This window comes from Homo sapiens, chromosome 5 (assembly GCF_000001405.40).
Source record: "Homo sapiens chromosome 5, GRCh38.p14 Primary Assembly".
Lineage (NCBI taxonomy): Eukaryota > Metazoa > Chordata > Mammalia > Primates > Hominidae > Homo > Homo sapiens.
The window spans coordinates 24908884-24933441 of NC_000005.10; positions in this window are offsets into that span (position 1 = coordinate 24908884).

A 24558-nucleotide genomic window follows, 5' to 3' on the forward strand; every position below is an offset into this window, starting at 1 on the left:
TGGCCATGAAAATTTTGATCTTTAATATAAAATTTGCCTCCATTTCTTTCACCTTCTATTAGTACCATATATTTTAATATCATAATTTTGTCATTTTTAATATATGAAAATGTAGTTTCACTGTAAATAAGTGTTCTTAAACGCTTTTCTAACTCATCTCCTGCATCATTTATTGATTTAAGAAGAAATATTATCTTAGTTCATTAGGACTGCTAGAACAACAATACAAAAAACTACATAGGTTATAAACAACGTAAATTTATTTCTTATTCTTCTGGAAGCTGGGAAGTTCAAGAGCAAGGCACCGGCAGAAGCAATGCCTGGTAAGGACTCACTTTCTCATAGATGGCTCCTTTCACTGTGTCCTCATATGGTAAAATGGGCAAACAAACAAGCTTCCTTGGGCTTCTTTTAAAAGAATCTTACTCCCATGCCTGAGGGCTTCATTCTCAGGGTTCAGGTTAGGATCAGACCTGGGTTACTCAGATTCTACACATTCCTAAAAGACCTGTCTTCAGAACTGTGATCCTTGGACAGCTCCTAAAAGATAACCTTTATACTATTATAATGTATGTTCTATACCAAAGGCCTTGTGCAATGCTATAATTATATTGAACAGCCTGTTCTTTTATGTCTGAGGACTTCATCCATGCTATATGTGTTTGACCAGATAATTCTATGCAAACAGTGTGATTTACAGTGAACAATTGTTTTTCTCTTTGCCTGTGGGAGGTTCTGAAATATGGGTACCTGTGGTAAGTCACACAGGTGCTGCATGCCTATGTGATTGAATAAAAACTCTGTAGACCAAAGCTTGGTTGAGCTTCCCTTGCATGTGTTGCCACACGTTGTTGGTAGGAGAATTAAGTGCATCCCGATATGACTCCACCGGGAGAGGACACTTGTGTCTTTGTCCTTTCTGTTGTTACAACAAAATCCCTTAGATTGGGTAATTTATAAACAACAAAAATGTATTGCTCACAGTTATAGAGGTTAGGAAGTTCAACATCCATGTGCCAGAAAATTTAGTGTTTCATGCAGTCCCATTTCTCATAGATGATTCCCTAGTCTATGTATCCTCACATGGTGGGAAAAATAAACAAAGAAGTTCTCTACAGCCTTTTTAATAAGGACATGAATCTGATTCATGAGGGCAGAGCCCTATAACCTAATTATCTCCCAAAGATCCCACTGCTTAACATTGTCTTGGTAGTTAGGTTTTAATATACAAATTTTGGGGGGGCACAAACATTCGGACTGTAAAAACCTAGACCCTTGTACCTGGTTTCTCCTTGACTTTACCCTATAAATCTTTTCCCTTTGCAGATTTTAATCTGAATCCTTTCACTGCAACAAACTTCATTGAGTATAATTTTTTGTTCTGAGTTCTTTGAGTCCTTCCAGTGAATTATTGAATCTAATTGTGGTTTGGGAACCACCAATACACACAAACACATACACACAGTGATATATATATATAGTTATATATATATTAGGTTGGTGGAAAGGTAATTGCGGTTTTTGCTATTAAAAGTAATGGCAAATCCTGCAATTACGTTTGCACCAATCCAATACTTACATGCAGCAATATATAATCATATACATTTTTATACACACATGTATAGTTGCATCAATTCTTATGTCAGAAATGTGTATCATTTGTCAATTTTTCTCAGTCTTTGGAATATATTTTCGTCTTAAAATAATACGAGCTAGTCTGAGTGCAGTCGTGTTTACAACTAATTGATCACAACCAGTTACATATTTATTTGTTCTTTTTCTATTCCCACTGTTTCATTCTACTAGCCTTTGAAAAAATAATAAAGATAAGTCAATAAATAAAAATGAAATGATATGGCTTGATAAGAATCTCTAATTTTAATAGAGTAAAATATATAAATGTTGTTTATTATTAGTTTACCTGTGTTTTTGACAAATATTCTTTACCAATTTAAGATATTGAAGATATTGATTATGGAATCTTCTAAAACCTATAAATTTTACTTTTTAGTTTAGGCGTATTATACATATGAAACAAATTTTTTGCCTGATGAGAGAAAGAGGTTAGGCAAAACTTTTGTTTTTGTTTGTTCATCCAATCGCTCCAGCAACATTTGTTGAAGATACATTTTTTTCTCCTTTGCTTGGATTGATGCCTTTATTGAAAAATAATTGATGATATCTGTGTGTTTCTATTTCTGGATTACTCATTCTTCTTGATTGATCAACTTATTTATTATATATCAATACCAAACCATTTTGATGAATATAACTTTGTAGCAAGCCTGGTAAGCAAGTGATGTATATGCTCAAATTTTTTATTTGATTTTGCTTTAAAAAATTATTAAAGCCCTTCTAGATTACTTAGATTTTCTTATACATTCTACTATGCATTATTTGAATATTTGTATTTTTTATCAACGTTTTATCATTTTTATAGTATATATTTTGTTGATGTTTTACCAAATTTATATGTAAGCATTTTATTCCTTAATGCTATCAGAGATTTTTTCTGCTCCTAATATGTGTATATAAATATTTTTGTTTTTGAGATGGAATCTTGCTCTGTTACCCAGGCAGGAGTGCAGTGGCACGTTCTTGGCTCACTGCAACCTCCACCCCTGGGCTCAAGTGATTCTCCTGCCTCAGCCTCCTGAGTAGCTGGGATTACAGGCGCATGCCACCATGCACAGCTAATTTTTGTATTTTTTTTTTTTTTTTTTTTTTTTAGTAGAGACAGGATTTCCCCATATTGGTCAGGCTGGTATCGAACTCCTGACCTCAGGTGATCTACCCGTCTCGGCCTCCCAAAGTGCTGGGATTACAGGCATGAGCCACTGCACCCGGCCAATATATATTTTTTAAATTAAACTTTTATTTTGTAATAATTGTAAATCCATTGCAGTTGTGATAAATAATATACAGAGATCTTAAATATACTTTACCAGTTATCCTAATAGTAACATCTTGAAAACTATAGTACAATATTTAGAATATAGCACATAATTAGGATATTGGCTTGATACAATCAAGATACAGAGCATTTCCATCACAAGAATGGTCCTCATGCTGCTCTTTTTCAAGTGTTTGGATATTTTAATTTTAGCTTTTTTATTGATTTCTAGTTTAGTTCCATTGTGGTTAGACAATACACTTTGCATAATTCCAATACTTCTAAATCTGTTAAGTTTTGTTTTATAGCCCAAGATATTGCTTATCTTGGCATACAGTGGTTGGCACTTGAAAAAAATATTTATGCTGTTGTTGCCTGGGGTGTTTGATAAATGTCTATTGGATCCTGTTTGTTGGTGAAGTCATGGAGTTCTAAATTATTTCTGATTTTTATTTAGTTGCTCCATTATTTGTTTAGAGAGGAAGATATTTAAGCCTCCAACTGTAATTGTGAGTTTGTTTTTATTTCTGTCAGTTCTATAGGCTTGGAATAAAATATTTTACAGCTTTCTTGCTTATTGCATATACATTTAGGTCATCTTGGTGGATTGACCTATTTATCATTATTTAATGTTCCTTTATGTCTCTCTATATATACATATGGACATATATTGATGGTTGCTCTAGATATCGATGGTTGCTCTAGATAAAGATATATTGATAATTGCTGTAGATATATATATATGTATATATGCACACACACATATATAATCAGATAAAGTAGACTTCATATATATATATAGCCACACTTTTTTCCTTTAACATTTATATAATGTCTTTTTGATAGTTTTACTTCCATCCTTCTGCTTATATCATATTTGAAGTGAGTTTTCTGTAGGCAGCATATAGTTGAGTCATAGTTTTTCTTTGTCAGACTCTGTCTTTTGTTTGCTTCATTTTCCATTTACACAGTGTAATTATTAATGTTAGAACTTATATCTGCCTTTTTGTTTTGTCATTCTCTTTAAAAAATTTCTGTTTCCTTTTTCTTTATACTGGCTACACGGATTATTACTAGGGAATTTATTTAATCTATGTAATCTATTAACCCAAAATACATAAATAATGCTTATAAAATGGATTATTTGGACTTACAGAACATTTTATACAAGGATATCTCAATAATATTATAAAAATATCTTACCGACATAGCATAGATAGGCACAAATCTTGTTAGTTTTCTATTTTAGATAGCTATTCAATTAATTATTGTATTCTAAAAGGATAATAGTTGATATTTGCATAATTTGCATGCTTTTCTTCATCAGCTCTGCAAATACTATACATTTTTATTCCTTTATGTCAACTTTAAGTAAAATATAACAACATAAGAAAATAAGTAGAAATATGACCTCCCAAACATCTCAAAGTGACTCAGAATCTAGACATAAGACAGGAATCCTGTCTCCTAGACTAGTCAATACCACACCGCATTGTACTCAGAGGAATTATATAATGTTGTTTGGCAAAAAACACATTTAAAACTTAGCTCTTAAATTATTTCAATAACTTTTTAAACAAATTAAACATTTAACAAACTTTGAATTAGAGTGTTTTAAAATCTCATTTGCAATCATGAGTTCTTCCATATATTTTTTTAAAGAACACGTTGATAAATTATTAAAGGGAAAAACAGATTGAAGTTAGTAAAATCTTTGTTGTTGCTATTGCTGTTCTAAGTAATTGAAATGAATCTCTTCTTTAATTCCTCATTTCATGCTCTTCTTTAATGCTCATTTCAGCATTTGTCATTTGGAATAATTAAATTTCTAACATGGGAAATATATGCAATAGGTGAAAGGTAAATTATTTATTTTATATTATGTTTTCTACAACTGGATACATTTTCCATCAGAAAAGAAGAAGATAAAGATGAAGACGAAGAAGACGAAGAAGAGGAGGAAGAAGAAGAAGAAGAAGAAGAACAAGAAGAAGAAGAAGAAGAAGAAGAAGAAGCAAAACCACCATTCAAAATCTCTTTTAAGTCAGGCAATAATTGTTTTCCCTGTTCCTTCCAGGAAGTAAAGGAAAAATTGCAAACTCCATATTTGCTCAATGATCAGGCTTATATATAGCTTTTTTATTCCTTTCTAAATATTTAAATGGAATTTTCTATGAGTTGTTTATTGTATTGAAATAAACTATTTGAACATTAATTTTATTTCTATTCTTTTTACATTCTCAGTTGTGCAGTGCACAGAGGGATCCCTTGGACTTTGCGGCCTATTCAACAAGGCAAGTCTGATTTATGGTACTATGTGATATGAAATCAGTGTGTGTACTCACAATAAAAGTGTGTACACATTCAAAGTGTGTATATGTGTGTGCTTGTTGTGCATATGTATGTGTTGAGTGCTCCTTACTATAACTACATTTTTAAAAATAATTTTAAAAAGCATGTGTCTGTATGAGATTCATTTTCTTTGATTTATCTAAAAAACATGTCCCAATTTTCTCACCAGACTTATAAGAGAAGCTTAGTTACATTGGGTTTGTCTGGATGATAAGAACTTAAATAATTGACAAAGTGGTTATGAGGTTTTCAACTAAAGGCTCAATACCTAAGACCTACATTTTCCATAATCAAAGATCAAATCATTTGAAATTCATATACATGAATTATCAGTATCTACCCAGAGAGTAGGTCTTACTTCTGCTACTAATCCCTTGATAGCTATGGCTGACAGATTACAGAAGTCAAAGATTTTAAGTGTAAATTAATAAATAACAACACTCAGAGATTTTGAAGTATCCTCTTAAGACTAGCATCTTTAGCATCACCTGGAGATGTGTTAAAATGCAAATTCTCAGGCCCCACACAATACCAGATAAATCCGAAGATCTGGTAATAAGCCCTAGGAGTTTCTTTTAATAAGTATTACAGATGATTCTGATGCACACATATGTTTTCCAATCACTACTGTGTTTGATAAATAGATTAGCTATTTCCTGGTAATAAAACAAAATGTTAGTTTAGATGATCATAAAATAGTTTTTTTTGGTAAACACCTCACTTAGCAAATTATATAAAATTTTCAATTACCAATAGTTCATCATATTTATAACATACAGTATTACTAAATTGTACTTGAATTCTAGATCATTTTCATTTTCTCAACTACACCTAGTTCAAGCCTTTGCCAGTGCTCCTGGCTTTTTCTTTTGTTTTAATTTTCCTCTATTGCTTATTACTGTAAACTTCTTCCCACACCAAGTTTACATATTTTTACCATTCTATATACTGCTATAGTCTTCAAATCTTCATAGATACTTCAGAACAAGTTATCTTTTCAGTTGTCAGTTTTCAAGACTTTTGGTCTTATCTTTCCTGCCCTCTCCTCTCAAGTTGGATTACATTGCTTTTTAAGAAGAGACAGGTGCTCAAAGCATGCCTGCCTGAGGCTGCTGTCATTTCCTTCACCAGTAAAATGATACCATCCAAAGTTTTAAACAGCTCAAGACTTTATTTCCTCTTTTTTGTACATTTTCAATCAAATAAATATATTTAGAAGCTTAAAAATATTTCTCTAGGAAAGTTTTAAACAGCTGAAGAAAAGACTGGATCTGGAATCAGAGACTTGTTTCAAATTCTAACTTGGGCGATGATTAATTATATTGCCTTAGGAAAGTCAATTAACATTTCTGGGACTCCGTTTCTTTATATGTAAAATGGAATAATCTTTTCTGACTTTCATGTTTGTGTGAGGTTTAAGATAAATTGAGATGAAGCATCCAACTCTAGATATCAGACATGGCTCTCGACAGAAATCAAGACATGGTCACTGTGTGCATACAGCTTTCGGAGAAAAACTGCAAAATTAATAGAAGAGTCCCTTAGGCTATATGCTATCATAGATAAGCATTTCTTTTCACACTGATTATCAAATGATACGCTATTTTTCCGTGAACACTTTTAGTTAAAATAATATTCTAAAGATAGCTTGGTATACAGATGTGTGAGGAAAAAATGAAAATCCCTTTACAATATAAATTATTGCAATATTTGCCCACATAACTTACACACAAATTGTCAAATATAAAGTTGTGAATTTGGCTCATCATAATAAAGACACATTGCGTATTTACCCTAAGAGATGTATGCTATTTCTTTTTAATTTCAAAATGAAACTACTAATAGCATTTTTGCACTAGTTTTACAGATAAGAAAATGGAATCACAAAGATGTTAAGCAGTTTTTTCAAGGACACAATTAACAATGGTCAGCCAGGATTGGAATGCTAGTAGCTGGTCTCTGACATGTCTCCTTAAAGCAAGGTACTCGGCTACATCTCTAATAGAAATGTACCACATTAATCAATTTAGCTATAAATGCTGTCTCTGTTGTGATTTATAAATATAGGAACAATGGGACCTTTGGTATACTACCTTCTTATAATATCATAGACAGAAACTGTGCTAAATGTTAAACAAACACACACACCCGGTAGAATCCATCAGACACAGGACAAGATTAAGGCAATTTGAGATGAGAGGGAACGTCTTTATTTCTTGAGTATTTTCATACCAATTTGTGAGCAGTGATTCCTGAATTAGAGTACCTGTGTTTTGTAGTAAATATCAGTCAGTTACAAAACTAGTAGCCACTAAGCAGTTCCAGACTTTGGTGTTCTTGGTTTGTTTTGGGAATGGATATTGAAGGTCATGGCCAATCCTGATATCCAGACTTTTTAAAAATAGCCTTATTGAAATATAATGTATACACTTTGGTTCAACTCTGAAAAAATAATAGACGTCAGAGAAAAAGGCCCAGGTTTTCTCTAGACTTTTGGCTTAAGGGACTGAAGAAAAGAAGATGTGCTGATTTTCCTCCAAACTGTCTAATCCATTTTCTCAAGAAAGGAAAATAGACAAAGAAATGGGACTACTGCCTTGTCAGGATCTATAAATGGACTATTTGGCTGCAGTTTCTTATTTTAAAGTCTCTTAGGAATCTGCTAACAGAGAGCAGGACATTGATAAACTTGAATAAAAAGTAACCCAATGACATTTTTTTCAAATTTACTTTCTGCCTTAAGTTTTGCTTTCCTTACGGTATATCAACTCTGACATCAGTGTCTTTTCTTATGAACATATCTCTGCATTAGCACTTCAAGGTCTGTGGCAGAGTATAGCTTCATGTTAATTTATGGGTCTGAGCACTCTTTGGAAATTGCTATCATTTCCAAACCTGTTTAAAATGCCTGTGTGACATTTTCCATGAGAAGACTGACACTGGAATCAGCCTGATTGATTGGGGGGAGAGAATAGATGTGGTATCACATTCCAAGCTGGTTTAGAAAAGGGAACAGACAATTTAAAATAGCGTAGTAGAAAGACTGGAAGTCCAAGAGCTGAGTCCCACTTTCATATCTGCTATTTTACCTGTATGGCTGCAGTCAGTTCAATATCTTTACATGCAATAACACCTAAGAAATACAAATACAAGTAATAACAATAGGTATACAACAATAAACAGCCACTCTCCCTGGAAAATAATTTATTAAATCTTAAAGAGAAGGTAAGCTAAACATTGGTAAATACTTATACTTTCCATTTATTTCTATTTCTCACCAAGTCTTCCTTATTCACTGATTCTTCAGTAGTACCTATCTTCATACCCTTCAAGATAATGTTGACATGTTCTAAATAAAGGTTTGCCATTTTGCAGTTTTTTTTGCAGTTTCTGAGCATTAACATTTGCCTCCTGGAACATCGTGTAAGAAGATATGCTCGCATCTTTCTCTATGTCCTCAGGGTCCTTGTATTTGAGCAGCCTTATAAGATTTACAACAAGGTCCTTTGGCATAACAGGACTTGGCTGTGATTCAAGATGGATTTGCCTTACAACAAAATAGCTTCTGGAGTGTCAGAAGAGGATTTCAAAGCATTTTTAGAGGCATTTATTTATTTGTTATCATGGCTTCAGTTTTATAGACCTAGAAATTATACTTTATAATATTTTCTGGAGGTTAAATATTTTTTCCACGTATTTTCATTTGTGTGACAAGACCCCTGTCCTCCTTCACATTTCTAATATTCATGGTAATTAATGTTACAATCTGAACTATTTTTCACAAACTTTGAGTCACTGGTTCTGTTTGGTTATACTTCTAATTAATAGATGACCTATGAGATTCTTCAATCCTCTGCTACCAAGTGGGTATCCAACAATTCAATTCAATTCTGACATTAAATACACCATAAGCTTTATGGCTCTGTCCTTCAAGACTGCCTACACTTCAGATATCAGTTGCAATGGGATGCCAATGCTACCCACATTTCTGCCAGGCTGGCAGACACACACACACACACACACACACACACACACACACACACACACAAATTTAGGGGTTCCCATGATTTCTCCCTCAAGTTTGATATTTCACTAGAACAGCCCACAGAACTCAGGGAAACACTTTATGTGTGTTTGCTGGTTTATTATGAAGAATGTTTTATAGGATAACAGGATACATCCTTTATAATACTTTGAAAAGAGCTCACTATAAATAATAAAAAAATTCTTATTATACCAAGTAACTCTAATTTGATATTACTTATCTATTTTCATAGAAGAATTCCCAATTACATATATAAACACTTTAAAGTCAACTCCAGGGCACGTACTGATTTTGGGGGCATTTTCCTTCTCTGTGATTTCATTTATCTATTTATCTAATAGTAACTGTCATTTCTTTTGGCTTATTTAAAGCTCAAAAATCTGATTAATTCAAGGTGCAGTATCAAGCACTTTATCAAGAAGATAAGAAAAACAAAGACATTGAAAGATACTAATTTTCTAGTCTTTCTTTCCCTCTCACTCTGGCTCTCCTGTCTTTGCACTATACCATCCCCCACTTGTATTGCTCAGGTTGTGTTCTTTTTGTGAACAATATTATTCTGGTCCACTGGTCTTAGGTTTGGGTAAAAAAATATTTATCCAGCTGAAATAAGCACTGGAACCAAAGAAGACATCTCACCCCACTGTGATAAAACAAATAGAAAATGAAAATGACTTTAAAGAAGTTTCGGGATTAACTTTAAGTAACAAGAACAGAGAAAACCAAGAGTCAGCAAACTCCTTTATATTCAAAATACTCCTAACACTTTTTTAAAAAAGCTTTCTGATTTCTAAACCCTTCTGCAGTTGGAGGTTTTTCAGTCCCTGTAACTTTTTACACATGAGAAAGTGGGTCAAGGTCTCTCTGGCACCATAATGCCCTTTTAAGATAATTATATCTCCTCGTCTTTTTTCACCAGCTTCATAATCAAATATACTCCTCCTAGTCATACTCCTGAACTTATTGACAGTTTAATAAATTGAATAATGAATTACATTCCTTTTGACCCAACACTTGTTATCTTTCTAAGTGGCTTCACATTTCTGTGGATGTCACAACCAACATCTGAGGTTTGTTCCTAATTTTTTTCATCTTAGTAACTTTTTCCTCCATGTTAGCTTTGACCATTTCTGGTCAAAAATTCAGAAATTTTACCATCTCTGAAATCACTATTTCAAACATCCCAAAATCCACCTACATAGTCCTCAACATATGGTTAACTTGCTCATGCACTATTATTGAAACATTTTTCCCAACTCATCAATGTTTCAAACTGCAATAGGCCTCCTTTTTCTCTGACAGCCTCTTCCTATCTTAAATCTCCTGCTTATCCACTTTAGCATACTCAGCCTTCCATTTCTCTGCAAATGTCAAGAATGTCTTTGGTTCTTTCTGTTTCCATGTCTTTTCGCTGGCTGCTTCTCCTCTAGCAGCCCTTAGTATTCCATTTACTCTTCCCTCTCTCCTTTCCACCAGAATGACATACAATCTATTTGCCGATATTTTAAATCTCTCTCTAGAATCGTTCTTCTCATCTTCAGTGCTATTTATCCATCTATCTACTTGGTATTACCACAATAGTATATATACCCATCTAAAAATTATAGTATTAATTCTTGTAGAATCTATACGTGTATAGAATCTCATAAGTTCTTGAGTTTAATGCTATTCTATTCCTATCAAATTAACTTTAGTAAAATTAGTATAAACCAATTGGTTCCATTTGTAGGTAACTACAATAAACCTTCGTTTTGGTATCCTAATGTCATCAAAAAGAGAATGCTCTGGCCAAAAAAAAAAAAAAGGGAGCAAATCAAAACAAAATGAAACCCACTGTAAACAAAATCAATTGGCAAATGACAAGCACTTGGGTAATTGGCAGAACCTAAACTAGTAAATCACTTTGAAGGATGGTCTGTCAGTATACAGTAAGTTACACATGCATTTACATTTGACCCACCAAGTGCATTTCTAAATATATACCTTGACAGTTTGCCTCCAATATTATGAAAATATATATTGACATGTTTATTTACAAAAAAAATCCTTCAAATTATAAAATATTGAAATTTCTTTAAATTATACTTTAAGTTCTAGGGTACATGTGCACAACGTGCAGGTTTGTTGCATATGTATACATGTGCCATGTTGGTGTGCTGCACCCATTAACTCATCATTTACATTAGGTATATCTCCTAATTCTATTCCTCCCTGCTCCCCCCACCCCACGACAGGCCCTGGTGTGTGATGCTACCCATCCTGTGACCATGTGTTCTCATTGTTCAATTCCCACCTATGAGTGAGAACATGCAGTGTTTGGTTTTCTGTCCTTGCGACAGTTTGCTCAGAATGGTGGTTTCCAGCTTCATCCATGTCCCTACAAAGGACATGAACTCATCCTTTTTTATGGCTGCATAGTATTCCATGGGGTATATGTGCCACATTTTCTTAATCTAGTCTATCATTGATGGACCTTTGGGTTGGTTCCAAGTCTTTGCTATCTTGAAAATTCCCACATGCATAAATAATGAAACAAAAAGTTTCTATAAATGATGATCATCTACTCATTGGAATACTATGCATCTGGAAATAAGAATTAGAAATATTTTTATGAAGTAATAGGGTATGATTCCAGAATATATTGTAAGTTAAAAAAAAAGTTCAAAATAGTATTTATAGCATGCTACCTTTCATGTAAGAAATGAGGAAATTATATACACATATGCATAAACACACACACACGTGTGTGTGTGTGTGTGTGTGTGTGTGTGTGTGTGTGTATCATGCCTGTAATCCCAGCACTTCGGGATGCCAAAGCAGGAGGATCACTTGAGTTCAAGACCAGCCTGGGAAACATAGCAAGACCCCTTCTGTATATACAGAAAAAATAAAAAATAGAAGCCGTGTATAGTGGTGCTTGCCCATTGTCCTAGCTCCTAGGGAGGCCAAGGGAGGAGGATCACTTGAGCCCAGGAAGTTGAGGCTGCACCGAGCCATGATCATACCACTGTGCTCTAGCCTGGACACCAGAGTGAGACCCTATCTTAAAGAAGAAGAAGAAGAAGAAGAGTAAGAAGAAGAAGAACAAGAACAAGAAGAAGAACAAGAACGAGAACAAGAACAAGAACAAGAAGAAGAACAAGAACAAGAAGCAGCAGGAGCAGCAGCAGCGGGAGCAATATGAGGCAATAACCAATTGTCTCATATGCTTTTAATCCCTTCAGTTTATCTGCATATACTTCTGTGATGGGCTAGAAATGCAGATGTTGGTGAGTGAGTTGGGGAGTAGCAAAGCAGTTGGGAGGCATAGGAAGGCCACCATTCATTTTTAAATTCCTCTCCCGAAGATTCAGTTACACAGTCAGAGAACACCCCCAATCTACAGCGTGATTCAGGGCAGGCTGTGGTGAAAAGAAGGGGACAAAGTATGCTCCCTGAGAATAATGCCCACTGAAACAGCATCATCCCTCTTCACTCAGTTTTGTAAATTTCATTCTTTCATTTCATATATTTTTGGCCCAAATTGGCTTTTCATGAATTCACTCCTGAGTGAACAAAAAAGAAAAAATATTGATGTTAATTTCATAAGAGGTTATGCAGTCCCTGTTATTTGAGTCATCAAAAGCACCACCTCAACAAAGATGTTAGCAACAACATCAAAAACATCACCCCAGCAAAGATGTTAGGAACATCAAAAGCATCACTTCAACAAAAATGTTAGGAAGATGCTCTTCTTACAACTGAGGTAGGTGACTTGGTAGAAGAAGTTGGTGATCATGAGATAATTTTCATTTGGAATTGCTTGGTGGTTTGATTTTTATCAATGATCCATAGTTATAGGTTTTCAGTAGAAACATTGTTATTTCTTGCAAGTTTCAAGTATTTTTTTCTCTCTCCCTCTTTTTCAAGACTGAGCAATGAAAATTAAATAGTTACATTAATTTATCATATTGACAAAGTAAGGTTTAGAAATCTGAACTCTAAAATCTAAACTGTTTAGAGATTAAAAAATAGAATTGGAAGAATCAATAAGCTGAAAAATGTCCAAGTGATATGAGACCTAACAATAATGCCAAGAGTAATTGAGTAGAAAATCTAGAAAGATAAGAAATTGTTATGACATAAAAAAACAAGACGAAGTTTGTGGCTTTAGGTGTGAAGCGAATTAGGGATGTCAAAGCTGTAGGAATGGAAGGCAGAAGTGAGTCAGAAAGTCATGATGAATAAACCAAGTCACTCGAGGCTATTGTATTTATTAAGGAAGGAAGAAACATCCATACTGATAATGGAATTTATGCAAGATGGTAACAGCATGTGAAATAAAAATGAAACACTACAAATCATATGCAAAGACCTTAAGGAATACTATAGAATGACAAGGAGTTAGCAGATTAAAAACATAAAAAGATAAAATGAAAAGATGGCTAAAGCACTGCCACTGGTTCCAAAAAATGAAATGTTTATCTGCAGGCCTAGAGATGATCAGATAAAGCAAAAGACGAATTAGTGTGGAATATAAAGTATCAATAATAAATAATAAATAAATAATAAGATACATATCCTTGTCACACTATTTGAACATATAGTTGGGGTTTATATGATACAGATTATACGGACTTTTTTTTTTTTTTTTTTTTTGAGATGGAGTCTTGCTCTGTTGCCTAGGCTGGAGTTCACTGGTGTGATCTTGGCTCACTGCAGCCTCCACCTCCCGGGTTCCAGCGATTCTACCGCCTTAGCCTCCCAGGTAGCTGGGATTACAGACATGCACCACCATGCCCAGCTAATTTTTGTATTTTTAGTAGAGATGGGGTTTCACCATGTTGGCCAGGCTGGTCTCAAACTTTTGACCTCAGGTGATCCGCCCACCTTGGCCTCCCAAAGTGCTAGGATTACAGGCGTGAGCCACCATGACCATCCTGTAATACAGGTTCTTGATGTTTGATTTATTCGTATCTTGTAAGCATCGGAGCTGCATTTTCTTATTTTTTAAAAGTGGAAGGCCAACTATTTGTTACCTAATATGTCACTTGAGTGACATATTTTGTACTGACTTCTGGAATTTTTTTCCCACTAATTTTGCTGCAGCCACTTAGGTTAACTGACCAAGCCAGCAGTCTCTGCCAGCACATCACCTAGTCTCTGCTGGATGCGTCTCCTCTCCTATAGTGGGAATTCTTTGTTGAAGCTAAAGAATAAGAAGCTATGGCACTTGCTCAAGACCTCATGCTTGTGAATGCAAAGTGGAAGTTAAAAGAGGAGGTAGTTAAAGTTAAGAGCTCTCTCCCTAAATCTCCTGATCCCTAGTGATTAATGTCCTAAATTGGTTCATGAGGACATTCAAAAACAGTTCCAGGAAATTAATTAGTTGCATTTGACACCAAGAGGTGACTAGCTAAGTAACACATTCCTGCATGTCTAGACCCTTGTTCCCTTGCTCATTGTCCTTGGCATTGTACTACCTGTTAAAGTGCTAGTACATGACAATTTGCCTCTCTGGAGGGCTTAGGTTGAGAAATTTCCATTCTCAAGTATTTGTGAATATACGATTCATTTCTACGTCCTGCCTTAACATTGTAAGACCTTACGAAATTAAGTGATCTCACTTGAAACCCAGCTTTTCTGTAGAAAGCATCATTATACCTTCCTATATGCTTAGCCATCTCCTTTTTTAAAAAAGTCAATCACCTCTATCTAGTTAAAGACATACTTTCATCAACAACATCAGACTTTTCTTACTAGAAAACAACTTTTTTTCATTAAGAATAACTTAAAACACTGAAGTGTCAGTTTCAAAAGATGAGTTCAATTTGTTTAAAACCAAGATGACAATCTCCATGAACCCTTAAGGTAACAGAGTTCCTCTGAGGATTCCTAATTCCTGTTCTCAGTTATTATGGTTAAAATCCTCTGAGGCATTTTGTTTCCCCTGAAATCCATGCTTTCCATACTTGATCAGTAATCAAAATTCTTCAAAGTTGTTTCCTAACAACATCTCTTGTATTGACACATTCATTAATATGCACAAAATATAATAAAACACCAGTTTACTTTGAAAGAAGGTAAACAAAGACAATATTGCTGCAGAGGGGCAGAGAGTGAGTAGATAATGATTAGTTAGGTTGAACAAAAGAATTAATGAGGGACACGAGGCTACAGCTTAGTCTTAATGTAGGAAAACAGCTAAATAGAGGATAACAAAAGAGAATAATAATTTTAAAAATGTAATTTAATACATCATAAAGATTATGACATTCAGTTCTATGATTAAGCTTAATAAAAATGCAGTTTAATATGTGGTTCAAATTTAGATATAAATGAATCTATATATTATAAACATATTTTTAACAATAATTTACTGATTGTACATCATTTAAGGACAAGTAAGTAGTAGCTAGCTAACAAGATACACAGGAATATAATTAATATATATTTTTACAAACATATACATATTTCTCTATATACACATAGTTATAGATTGAATGTTTTTGTTCCCTAAAATTCATATGTTGAAACCTTAACTTTCAGTGGCTGTATTTGGAATTGGGGACTTTAAGAAGTAATTCAGGTTAAATGAGGTTATGTGGGTGGGTCCCCATCATGTATGATAAATGTCCCTATAAGAAGAGGCACCAGCTTCATCCATGTTCCTGCAAAGGACATAAACTCATTCTTTTTTATGGTTGCATAGTATTCCATGGTGTATGTGTGACACATTTTCTTTATCCACTCTATCACTGATGGGCATTTGGGTTGGTTCCATTAGGACTCATATCTAATGCAAGTGGGACTTAAAGCATAGATGACAGGTTGACAGGTGCAGCAAACCACCATGGCACATGTATACCTATGTAACAAACCTGCAGGTTCTGCACATGTATCCCAGAACTTAAAGAAAATTTTTAAAAAAAAAGTCACCCGGCCAGGCGCAGTGGCTCATGCCTGTAATCCCAGCACTTTGGGAGGCCAAGGCGGGCGGATCATGAGGTCAGGAGATCGAGACCATCTTGGCTAACACGGTGAAACCCCGTCTCTACTAAAAATACAAAAAAATTAGCCAGGCGTGGTGGCTGGCGCCTGTAGTCCCAGCTACTCCGGAGGCTGAAGCAGGAGAATGGCGTGAACCCGGGAGGCGGAGCTTGCAGTGAGCTGAGATCGCGCCACTGCACTCCAGTCTGGGCGACAGAGCGAGACTCCGTCTCAAAAAAAAAAATAAATAAATAATAAATAAATAAATAAATAAATAAATAAATAAATAATTTTTTAAAAAGTCACCAAAGAGTTTGTGCACTCCCTCTCTTTTTCTCCTTTCTTTTTGTATCTCTCTTTCTCAGCACACAAAGAGATCATGTGAGTATACAGTGAATGATGACTACATACAAACCAATAGAAGAGGTCTCATAATAAAACCTACCTTGCCAGTACCTTGGTCTTGGCCTTTGCAGTTTCCAGAACGGTGGGGAAATAAATGTATGTTACATAAGCCATTCAGTCTGTGATAGTTTATTATGGCAGTCTGAGCTGATTAATATAGATATTAATATATATCTTTATCCATATCTATATCTATGTGTATATATATGTATATGTATTTCATGAAATACATATTACAGGTAATTTTACACTAAGGCTTTATTTGACCTTGGAAATATATATTAATTACTTTTCCAAGAGAGTTATTGCATGTAACAAAGAGAAACAACTAATGTGTTTTCTTTTTTTAATTTTTTTTTAATTCCAAGCCAGTTGATTTTTGTGCTTTAAGTGATTTTATTGTTGTGTGGTTGTAGGCTTCCCAAGAAGTTACAGTTCATTAAAAGGATTTTATATTTTGAATTTCAATTAGAGGAGTTGTTTATTCGGTATAGGAGAATGTCATACTCTTGATCAAGAGAAATAACATATTTTAATATCAATTTACCAATATATCCCATATATGACATGTCTATTATTTATTCTTTTATTGTTTCTTACATAGTTTTTGTCTTTCTAGTTTATGGCCCTGCCTTCAATACTCCACTATAATTTAGATTTCAGTTACTTCATTGAATTCTATTTTCTATTCTCATGACTTTAGGTATAATTTTGTGTTTTCTTAATCATTATTTTTTAGACTTTATTTTAAATTATTATTTTTATAAAATATTAATTTTCCTGCAGCCATTTGTGCTCATTTACAATATTTAAACTGATATGTTATACATGCCATGTATAGATATTTATTTATTTATTAAGAAAGAAAACAATTTTGGTACTGCCTCTGAAACAAAAAGCACAGATGTAGCTGTAATGACAGTGATGGTCTGGTCAATGAATTAAGCACATTATTATAACAGGTGGTGTCTATACCTAGACTCTCGTTGTGATGATAAAGAAAAAAAACTACCTCAAATCTGATATTGGAAGCTCTGTATCAGATTCTATTAATTCATCTGCAATCCTTTGGAAAACACTTACTAGAAAGGCTCAAGGTGTCCTAGACTTGGAGTTCTAGGATGAAACATGTGTTTTGTAAGATAATAAGACAGAGGAATCTCTGAATCTATGTTGTGGCTCTACCAACTGCTAGCATTATGACCCTGAAAATGTCACTTAAGTTCTCTTTGTTCTTAAATTTTTAAGGTGGGTGAGGGGTAATTTTCTTTATCCAAGGATTCTGCTAACTATAGAAAATTTACTTTAAAAGTATTAATAATAATTAACATTTGTAAATGTAAAATTAATTAAACCATAAGATAAGAGTTTCAGCATTTTTAAAAAATTTGGTTTTTGCCCATTTCCCACATGATGAAACCAGAGCTATATTTGTGGTTTGCCTAAGATTGCTGCCATAGTCTGAATGTGTTGCCCAAAATTCATGTGTTGGAAACTTAATCCCCGATACAACAGTGTTGGGAGGTGGAGCCTAATGGGAGATATTTAGCTTATGAAGGCTCCACCTTCATGAATAGACTAATACCACTAAAAAAGGTCTGGCAGGAGTAACTTCTCTCTTCTGCTCTTCTGCCACTAACACAGCTTTGCCACTCTTTGGCTCCTTTTTGCCTCCTCCTTCCTCTCTTGCCTCCTCCTTCCACTATATGAAGATGGAGCAGGAAGGCCCTCAACATGCCAAATGCTGCTGCCTTGATCTTGAATGTCCTAGTCTCCAAAGCTTGAGGAATAAATTTCTGTTCTTTATAAATTACCCTTTCTCAGGTATTTTGTTATAATGGTACAAATAAGACAATTGTTAAATTAGTAAAATCCTATATTATAGACTTAATGCCTGGAACGTCTAAATAGAAAAAAGTCTATTGCCTTCTAAGTAAATTTTCAGGCATGAGAATATATGTAATGAATGGGTGGCATAGATGACATCCTCTTTTGTTTTTACATTTAATTAGAAATTCAGAAGAGGGAGAAAAAGCACTTGGTGTGTTTGGAAAAAGTTTCATAGAGCAGTATGAACTTCAGCTGGACTTATAGAGGTAAGAAAAAGATCAAGGAGAAGAACTGGAGAAAAAAATGCATAAATTTACATAATGCATTTGAGTGACAATGAGATCCTTCTGGCTGAAAAGTATGGTTCATGTAGACAAATAAGCAGATCTAGTTCAGAGACTTACAGGTAGTTCTAATAACAAAGAAGAGTCAAGGATAGGGGGAGTGATGTTCCAAAACAGATGTGTGCAATGATTCTTATTGACAATTTTTTGGTAACATTTTTCCTAATTTTTGGGGAAGCAACCACATGTCCACAACCATTCAGAATCCTATGCCAGTTATGTGCCTGAAATTTTAATTACAAATTACAATTACATGACACTTCTATTGGTTTTGAGTAACAAGAAATATGGTGAGTTATTATTTCTCCCACCTGTATCCCAGATAATTGTATTGAATAGTACACTCAGAAAACATCAATAAAAAATATATTTACCATGCACAACCAACTGTGAAGTAGATAAGACAAAAACAGAAATGTATATATATATATATATATGTATATATATATACACACATACAGAAACGTGTATACATATATATATATATATGATATCTTTTGTTTGATGCCTGCTGTCTACTTCTCATTTCCTTCTGGCTGCTCTGTGTCTGGAAGGCAGGCCCTTACATACTGCATCATGGGTTCCCTTGGCTTATGGTTTCAGTTAGGTCAACATTTTGCACTGACAAGAGATTGAAAGGTTGGAGGAGGAGTGTTCAGGTTGTTAATTCGCTTGGTTACTCCACTGTACAAGATTCAATGAATTGATTGCATCATTCACGCTGGACATCCTTCTCCATGCAATTGCCATCTCTGATTCTAGGTAACTTTTTCCCTGGCCTTTTCTGGTCTATGAGTCTTAAAACCTTCCTGCTGTTGCTAACCCCAGGCAGTGGTGTGAATATGCTGGAGCTGTTGATGGCTCTTACCATCTCCTGAGATCTAGTTGTGGCCATTGCTTCCCAAGTCTGTCTTCATTAAGGCCATGGTGTCATCTTGAAGTCAGCCATGGTGGGAGCATTCACACCATGGAAAATAGCATAGCTACAAATTAGGTTTTTTGGTTTATTTTTGTTATAGATTTTTTTCTAGAAAGCCAGTTATTAAAAATGTCTAAACCCACTACTAGCTCAACTGCTCTGTATTGCCACTTCTCTCCTCCTTTTTAATTCCCTAAAACACAAACACAATTTGTAAAAGGACTTGATTTATTAAACATCCCCCTAAATATTGATTTTAATGTGCTGTCTATTTTTTTTCTGGTTAACCTTAAATAACACTGTAATTGGTATCAGAAATAGTTCCCAGAAACAAACCTTAGAAATAGTATCCTGGGGTTGAATTGTAGACATACTGAGAAACCTATGGATATATTGGTTTTGAGGAATAGTTGGACACTGGAAAGTTGTAGGAGATAGTTGTATAAAGATTTTCAACATATCACTGTTATTAGCATGGGAAGACATGCAATTAAAAAAAACTAGGCTTCAGGAGATAAAGTTTCTTTGGAATTTTATCCTTTTGATGACAATAATGATGATAAACATTTTTATTGTGGTTGGCTACACCTAAGAGCCCTAGAAAGTATACTCAAGTAAAAGAACAAAATAAAGGTTGTGCACACTTAACTCACACAATAAATGGAAAATTAGAAATTCTCAATGACAGTTTTGAAGAGTTCATTACCTCTGCTAGTTACAGAGCAGATATGGCTAAGGAACAATAACCAGAGCTTGCTGTAGGAGTTGCAGATTTGCAGTGTCAATAAAATACTCACTTCACTGGTTGAGAAAGAATGATGCCTTGAGATATAGATGGAAAAAATTGGGAAGACATAAACCCAGCTGAACATTTTGGACTCTCTTCTCCCCTCCAGTACTCCTGAATCTCCCTTGCTGGCAGAGGCATACATTCAAACCCTTTCTGAGAGAACTAGAATTTCCCTTCAAAAACAAAAACAAAAACAAAAAAACTTTTTAAATGTATTTGGGGACTACTTTCTCTGCAAAGGCCATGCTAAATGCCAATCATTATCTTCGGGGCCATAGGAGTTGTCCAACGTACACCAAATGAAAAACATAGTTGACTCCAGGACTCTATATACAGTGAAGTAACAAAAGTTTGTCAGTTTCAATTAACAAGAGTCTGAGAAGCATGTATGAGAGTGTTACTCTGGGGTACTAGACAAAGGAGAATGAAATTTTGAAATGATAAATACCACCCAATATATTTATAAATTGTCCTTACCTGGAACAGGGGATATAATGTTTGGATCTAGCACTAGGATGGATGTTAATAGTCAGCAGCTACTCTGGCTGGTTGAAGCCTGTACTCAAAAGAAAGCTCCAGAAATTGGCAATGCAGTTAAAATATCAGTTCTAGGGGGTATATATAGGAAGGAATCAGAAGCTTCATCTGGATTATAATGTTGGTATTGAAATGTTTTATATTACCTGATCATATAGCCATTGGCCATACCCTAAGCAATGGTCTAAAGGTCATGCCTTTGTTAAGCATTGAGAAAAAAGCTTTGATTATAAGGGCACTAGCATTTTTATAAGCCTACGTGTGACCATCATCAAGCTATTGGCTAGGACTGTGGCAAAAGATGCTGCAATACCCTTGGGTTTCCTAAACCTCAGTGGAAGTATTGGGATTCAAAGTTGCTAGAGGCAAGGTTAGTTCTTGCCCTCCAGAGACAAGGTGGATGCAAATATCCCAATAAATTTCAAGGCAGGAACGGTAATAAAATTTAATATGCAGGGAGCTTCGGTGATGGTTAACATCACAGAAGGTTTCAGTGAATAACAAAACATAGGGTTTCAATGAATAACATAGATTGATAGCCTACTAAGGGATTGCAGGACATATATTAGCAGAAAAATTCTGTGGTTGCAGGACAGAGAGGTAACTCGGGTACCAATCTATTGAGTCAGTGGTCGTCCATTGAGGAGAAATCTGTATCTTTTCAGGGACTCAGCAACACGACACATGTTTCTACCATGAGTCTTTTCCAATGGTTTTGCAGAGGGAATTTCAGATTTTAGCCGATGACAAATCTTCAAGAAAATAAAAATAAGGAAAGCATTCAAGCATTTTGGAGTTTATGGTACCACCTCTGAACCGACAATAATATCTGAACTTTTGCATTTTACCATGGTCTGCACAGAGTGCAGGTTTTTGATGATTGATGAAGTCTTGGTTTGATTCTATCTTGCAGTGGGTCCAATGAGACTACAAATTTATTCTATGTATATATTTTTTCATTCCCAGAATGTATGATGGCAGTAAACAAACTTAATAACTGGCAAAGCTTCCAGTGTCTTTTACATGGGAATCTAATGAAAATTCCTATATTTAGCCACACAATATAATAAAATAATGTTTGTCTTCTTCTTTACCGGTTTGCCTAAGGGCTATGGCAACTTTCTTGTTCCCTGTTATAATTAGTCAAGGGTTGTCTTAATAGCCCTCCTTACATCTTTCTGGTCCTTTGCCCTGTAGACCTTATACCACTTGGACATGGAGAGAAGGATATAACAAGACACATGTGTTAAGGACATAAGTCTTTCACCTGGGTAAAAGGCAAGAACAGACATTCTTGGGAGAATGGGGGAAAAGTGATACTCTCTCCTAGACATCCTTTTGCCTATCTAAATACATTTTCTAACTTTCTCTACACTGCGTTGTGTTCTAGAAAGCTGATGTGTACACACTGCCTCAATGGCTTCTCATCACTGTGATATCTAGTTGTGCATGAATAGAAGGAAGCTGTCAGCAAGAAATTTGAGTGCTGGAGGAATATGCACTTTAGAGATGTACAATCACATATCACTTAACAGCCAGGATATGTTCTGAGAAATGTATTAGGGAATTCCGTTATAGTGTGAACATCAAAGAGAGCACTCACACAAATCTAAATGATATTGCCTACTACACACCTAGGCTATAAGGTATAGGTTATTGCTCCTAGGCTACAAAGTTGCACAGCAGATGACCAAAGTAAATACTGTAGGCAATTGCAACACAATGGTAATCATTTGATATCCAAACATATCTAAACATAGAAAAGGTACAGTAAAAATACAGTATAAAAATTAAAAATGGTATACTTGTATAGGGTACCATGAATAGAGATTGCAGGACTAGAAGCTGCTCTCTGTGAGTCGGTGAGTGAGTGGTGAGTGTATGTGAAGGCCTGGGACATTACCGTGCACTACTGTTGACTTATACTGTACTTAAAATTTATGAAACTTTTTTCTTCAATAATAAGCTAACTTTAGCTTGCTGTAACTCACTTACTCTATAAATATTTTAAAACTTTTTGACTCGTTTGTAATAACATTTAATTTAAAACAAGCACATTGTAAAACTGTCAAAAAGAATTTTCTTTCTATCCCTATCCAACATATTCTTTTCTATTTTTAAATTTTTAAATTTATTTAATTACTTTTTTACTCTTTAAACTTTTTTTGTTAAAAACTAAGACAAACACACATTAGCCTATTCCTACACAGGGTCAAGATCATCAAGAAGTAAGTAGGCTGGGCGCGGTGGCTCACACCTGTAATCCCAGCACTTTGGGAAGCTGAGGAGGGAGGATCACAAGGTCAGGAGATCGAGACCATCCTGGCTAACACAGTGAAACCCCGTCTCTATTAAAAATACAGAAAGTTAGCTGGGAGTGATGGTGGGCGCCTGTAGTCCCAGCTGCTCGGGAGGCTGAGGCAGGAGAATGGCATGAACCCAGGAGGCGGAGCTTGCAGTGAGCCGAGATCACGCCACTGCACTCCAGCCTGGGCGACAGAGTGAGACTCTGCCTCAAAAAAAAAAAAAAAAAAAAAAAGAAGTAAGTAGGTGGTAGAAATTTTTTTGCTTTATTATAATCTTGTGTGACCACCATCGTATATGCAGTAGGTCATTGACTGAGGCATCGTTATGAGCTGCATGACTGCTTTGCTGGATTCCTTAGAAGCGTGGAATTATCACCGACTGCCTTAGACTATTCTCCATCCTCTCAGTTTATTTTCTGCAGATTTACACTATTGAGCTCTTCCTTTCATCCTGCAGGATTAGGAAAGTGAATAGTTTCTTCTGGTTACTAGTTCTGGCAATACGTTATTCCTTGGGTACTCTTAAATACAACCCAAACCTCTATAAAAAGCAACTTTATAAACCTCTCTTCTAATTACCCAGCTTGAATTCCCAGTTTCTTGGTGGAACCATTACTAATACACTGTGTTTCAATTAGCTATAGCTCACACAACTTGCTCAAAATATCATAATTACTTAATTGTTTGTTTCTATGACTCGGGTTTACATTTTAATTTTTTTCCTTTCACTTATAATGTTTATCCATACTATAATACCTTTCTAGAACATAACATCAGAAGTGTGGAATCTTAAACTCAAATATGCTCTTTCTAAATCAATTAAATGTTCATTGTGTTTAGATATATATTTTATTATTAGGCTACAACTATATAATTTTTGACTGAATTAAATAAATTAAAAATAATTTTTATAAATAAATAGAAAAAATACTTTCCACTAGTAACACAAATAAAACATATATCCTATTAGCAATGTGTTGTATTGATACTAATCTTCACATCTCATACCTTCTATGTAGATACTTGTACTTTCCTACTTTAATTAGTATTTATTCTAAATTGTCCACTCTAATGCAAATTTTATATTAATTAGACTTCTTACAGAAGCAAAGAGAAGAAATCAATTTCACTTGAAACAAATTATTTTAATTTAATTGGTTAGTTATTA